The sequence below is a fragment of the Homo sapiens genome, chromosome X, assembly GCF_000001405.40.
Source record: "Homo sapiens chromosome X, GRCh38.p14 Primary Assembly".
Lineage (NCBI taxonomy): Eukaryota > Metazoa > Chordata > Mammalia > Primates > Hominidae > Homo > Homo sapiens.
The window spans coordinates 111,617,445-111,623,194 of NC_000023.11; the positions used below are offsets into that span (position 1 = coordinate 111,617,445).

A 5,750-nucleotide genomic window follows, 5' to 3' on the forward strand; every position below is an offset into this window, starting at 1 on the left:
AGCAGTCACCCCCATCCCTTCTTTACCTGATCTCCAGGAAACCACTGATTTACTCTTTATATATAGATTTTCCTATTCTGGACATTTTATATAAGTGGAATCATATAATTAGTTTTTTATGATGGACTCTTTCACTTAGCAGACCATTTTCAAGGTTAATCCATGTTGTATCAGTACTTCATTGTTTTCTTTTTTTTCTTTTTTTTTTTTTTAAAGATCATATTTATTTGGAGAAAACAAAAAACCCACAACCCACAGGATGGGATTTTACATCAAGACATCTCCCAGGTAATAAGTCTACAGGTTACAAATCATTTTCATGGAAGATATTTTTGTACAAATTTTACGTGTATTCAGGAGTGGGACATTAATCAATCCCTGTTTCTATTTTAATAGGGGGGCAAGGTAGGGGAAAGGGAAAAACAGTTTTGGATATAACTATTTGGAAGGAGAGTAGACATGAAGAGGGCAAACCCTAGCTTTTCATTATCTACAATCAATAGTTTTTTTTTTCTTTTTAAAAAAAGAAAAAAAACCTTTCAATCTTCAATACTCTTTAAAAGCCCACTTCTTAGCTACTGGCCAATCCACACCAATTATTTAAATTCACTTGGTACACACCTTTGTCCACTGGGTAAATTATATTCATTATGCCCACTGCTGCAGCACGCATAAACCAACACCCCTGCATGGCTGAGCAGGGCCTAATCTAGGACTGATGGGGGAAGGGCTTGCAAACCAAGATCAAGGTGTCGTTTCTCTGCTAATACTGTCTATCAAGCTGATCCCTACAAAGAAATGCATATAAAAGCAGGCAAGTTTAGCTACTGTGTTGCAAGAGAAACCAGGACCTTGTTAAATAGTTCTCTCCATTACCGTTTATTCTCTCAAGGGAAGCTAAAAAAACAAAAAAACAAAAAAAACAAAAAAACAAAAAAACAAAAAAAACACGTTGGTCTGGCCACCTCATGAATCCAACAAGCATTAGTGTGGCATTTCAGTGGAGAAGGAAACTTGGGGGGAAAAAAGCCTATCAAGGTTGTAAGAAAGGCTCCCAATTTAACTGTCCCTGTCCCTATTTATCCACCATCCAAGACCATCCATTATTCTAGAGCACTCTGATCTATAAAAGGGGTCAAAGCATCAGGAACAGGCAAGGAGTGAGAACCAAAAGACATCAAGAAACCGATTTGCTTGAGAAAAGCAGCGATTCTTCCTTTCACAGCTCTCCATGGCTGAGAGAGAAAATGCCCAAGACATCATGTATGTGACTTAGATACTGCTTTTTGGGAGGTTAAGAGTATCATGAAGAACTTAAGATGACGATAAGAGTCTAAATTTTTAGTTTCAAGGTTTCAATACAATGTGGATATATTCAAACTTTCAAAAAGGACAGTGTTTAGAAAGGGTAAAACTAGGACACAGAAAACATTGGGAATTACCACGACCCCCAAGTGCTTCCGGCTCCAGGAAATAACCATTCATGTGTTTGCTGGAGGTCACGCAATTTTCCCCTATTACCTGGTGCAAAATGACTCATCACTTCCCAAAAGCTTCTTTTCAAACCACGATTTTCCCATTTATTTTGGTCCAATGCAGTCCCATTCTTTATGGCCTATAGTCTCACTCCCAACTACCCCCCTGGGGGGTAAAAAAAAAAAAAAAAGGGAATTCCCTCTAGGGTGGCCCCCAAAACTCAGAATTAAATAAGAGGAGGGGCTGGCAGCCTCCTGGAGACTAAAACAACTTGAGGCTAAATCTACCTTTCCAAGAGTGGAAAATTTATTCAGATAATGTTTGAGAATTCATATATGCCACAATAGGATAAAAACTAAAAAGTAGAAATCTCACACTTTTCCTTCTCCCTCCCTCCCCTACTGCCCAACCAGGTTCCAGGGGTTATATCACTCTCATTACCATTTCTGCTAAATGGAGACCCTTAGGCGCTAATCACACTGGCAACTGCGTGGTGACATAACGCACCACAACTTTTCCTCTAAAAAGCTGTAGTCCCTTTCTCTCTGGCTATATTGGCGATTCTCCAGTTACTTCAATACTTTAAAGGCTGCAGCAGCATGCAAAATAGTTTCATTTTTTGTTTTTAAAAAAAGGTAAGAAAGATCTTCAGGAGATGGTGAGTTTTATTTTGTCTTGTCTGGATAGAGGTTTTGATTTGCTCTCGAATGTTCCAGGGTGGAGAGAAACTAGGAGAAAAGCACAGGATGTAGAGGTCTATTCGGCATAATCTTCTCCCTCATTTTCATCTTCACCATCAAGAGAGAGCAGCATAGTTGCTTGCAGAACTGAACTTGGAAGCTGGATTTTCCTCAGGTTTCTTTGGCTCAGGTGCAGATCTGGAGTCTTGATCCTTTTTGCCATCTTTCCTATCTGACTCCTTCCAGTGGTCTTTGTTCCCTCCGTCTCCTGGACCACGGCTAGAGTTCCCAGTTTGGCCTTTTGGGACATTCATCCCATCTACTTTATTTTCATCTTGCCTTGCTGGTCCTTCCTCAGATGGTTGAGCTGGAGCTACTTTTCCCCCACCACTTGTAGGGGATTGCTGCTCTGCGTCTGAGCTCTGAGATCGAGCAGGAGGGTTAGAACTTCGCTTCACCCAAGCATTCTCCTTTGGTGGAGGGGCTGGCATTACCTTTAGGGGCTGATCAGGTTTGGGAGGTTTAGAAGTTGGAGAGTGGCAATCTTCCTCCTTATTGAGTGTTTCATTTTCTAGAGACTTCTTACTCTCTCTCCTTCGTGCATTTCTGCCAGATGTGGTGGAGGTCCCAGTCTGCGATGACTCACTTCCTGTCCTTGACCGTTCCCGTTCCTGAGTTTCTTCACTTCGCCAGCTTGGGTGTCTCTCCCGAGGCCGTCGTTCTAGTTTTGGCTCACTCAGCTGACGCTGCAACTTCTCTTGTTCCTTCTGTAGCCGTTCTTCTACTTCTCTTTCTCTAGCAGCTGTGTCAACAGGCTTTGCCCCTCCAAAGATAGAAGCAGCTCGAGTGGACTGGGAGGTACTAGCAGAGGAATCATCTTGCTTAAGAGTACTCCAAGGCTTTAGATTCAGTTTGGGTCTTTGGGGGGGACGTCTATCATCACACCTATAATCATCCCGAGAGTAATCATCTCTGGAGCTCCACGACCGATCATCCCGTCTGTCATATCAGTCTTCATAGCGGTCCCCGCCTCCTCTGTAGTCATCATCCCTGCGATACCCGCTGCCAAATGCTCTTCTGCCACTGCCTATCCGGGAATCATAGCCTCTATCATAGTCTCTGCTGCCTTGGTCATCATAGCGATCCCGGCCACCATATCCATCCATATCCCGGCGTGGGCCATCCCGATACCCATCCCGATACCGGTCTGAATCATAACGATCCCGATACTTGTCTCCAAAGCTATCATCACCTCTTCTAGTCATCAAAGCTGTCTGTAGCAGGACAAGCCCTCCAGTCCGTATCTGTTTTGTCAGAATCCCGATTTCTATCACGGCCAAAAGAACGATCATCCCTGTCTTTATCCTGTGCTTGATCAGCAACATCCACTCGAATTCTCCTGTTACCTAGAGACTCTTCATTGAGACTCAGGGCACTGAGCAGGGAATCCAGGTCCTCAAATTCAGCATAACCAAAACCTTTCAACCTCTCTGGATTGCTGGGTTCACGTGGTAAACGCACTGCACTGATATTTAATCCTCGAAAGAATTCCTTAATTGACTCTTCTGTAACATCATAGGGTAGGTTTCCTAGAAAAGCAGTGTAGGGTGGCGATTTGGGAAGACGGCTCCGGTCGATATTGGGTTCCCGAGCAGCCCGTGGAGCAGTGGGAAGGATGGAACGGTCAATTGGAGGCACCCTATACACATCGTCATTGTTACTGTGCCAAGTTGTCGAAACATCTCCTTCCAGGTCATCGTTTCATCAGCCCAGCTGACTGGTTTGGAAACATAGGTGCTTCCTCCACCAGTACCCCCATCCTCAGCCAGAAAGTCTGTTAGGGAGATAGTCTTCCCCTTCTTATTCTTCTTTTTTGCTGAGGCCGCCATGTTGGGAGAGGGAAAGAGAACGCAAAAAAGGGTACTTCATTGTTTTCAATGCCAAAAATATTTAATTGCATGGATATACCACATTTTGATTATCCATTTATCAGCTGATGAAAACTTGGGTTGTTTCCACTTTGGGGTAGTATGGTTAATGCTGCTATGACCATTGAAGCAAAAGGTCTTTGATAGTACAAATGTTTTCAGTTCTCTTGTGCATACATCCTTGAACAACATGGGGTTTAAGAGTGCTGACCCCTTGCACAGTCCAAAATCTACAAATAACTTTCAACTCCCTGAAAACTTGACTACTAATAGCTTACTGTTGAGGAAGCCTTGCTGGTAACAGTTGATTAACACAAACTTTCTATGTGATATCTATTTTATACTGCATTATTACAATAAAGTAAGCTGGGAAATGAATGTTATTGAGAAAATTATAAGGGAGAAAAAATACATTTGCTATCATTAAGTGGAAGTAGATTATCATAAAGGTCTTCATCCTTATCATCTTCACATGAGTAAGCTGAGGAGGAGGAGAAAGAAGAAGAGGAGTTGGTCTTACTGTCTTGGAGTGGCAGAGTTGGAAGAGGTGAAGAGGAGGCAGGAGGAGCAAGCACATTCACTAAAACTTTTATTGAAAAAAATGTCTGCATATAAGTGGACTTGTGCAGTTCAAACCGATGTTGTTCAAGGGTCAACTGTACACCTTAGGAGTAAAATTTCCGGACCACAGGGTAACTCTGTGTTTAACCATTTGAGGAACTACCAGACTATTTTCCATAACAACTGCACCACTTTACATTTCTACCAAGAATGTATGAGGGTTCACATCTCTTCACATTCTCACCAACACTTGTTATTTTCCATTTATTTGATTATAGCCACCTAATGCGTGCACAGTGGTATCATACTGTGAGTTTGATTGATATTCCCCTGATGACTAAAGATGTTGAGAACTTTTTCATGTGTTTATTAGCCATTTATATGTCTTATTTGAAGAAATATCTATCTAAATTCTTTGTACATTAAGAAGTGTATACTTCGGCCAGGCTCGGTGGCTGAAGCCTGTAATACCAGCACTTTGGGAGGTCGAGGTGGGCGGATCACCTAAGGTCAGGAGTTCAAGACCAGCCTGGCCAACAAGGTGAAACCCCGTCTCTACTAAAAATACAAATTAGCCGGGCATGGTAGTGGGCGCCTGTAATCCCAGCTACTGTGGAGGCTGAGGCAGGAGAATCTCTTGAACCCAGGAGGCAGAGGTTGCAGTGAGCCAAGACCACACCATTGCACTCCAGCCTGGGTGACAGAGCAAGCTTCCATTTCAAAAAAAAAAAAAAAAAAGAGGATATACCTCATTATTATTTTTACTATTTTATTTTTTAATTGGCATATAAAATTGTATGTATTTATTATGAATAAAATGATGCTTTTTGTTTTTGTTTTTTGAGACGGAGTCTCACTCTGTCACCCAGGCTGGAGTGCAGTGGTGCGATCTCAGCTCACTGCAACCTCCGCCTCCCGGGTTCAAGCAATTCTCCTGCCTCAGCCTCCTGAATAGCTGGGACTAAAGGCACATGCCACTATGCCCGGCTAATTTTTGTATTTTTAGTAGAGACGGGGTTTCACCATGTTGGCCAGGCTGGTCTTGAACTCCTGACCTCAGGTGATCCACCCACCTCGGCCTCCCAAAGTGCTGGGATTACAGGCA

General features: G+C 42.8%; 1 pseudogene; it reads right to left on the reverse strand.

Annotated features, from left to right (window-relative positions):
- On the reverse strand, positions 210 to 4,072 carry EIF4BP7 (eukaryotic translation initiation factor 4B pseudogene 7; annotated as a pseudogene).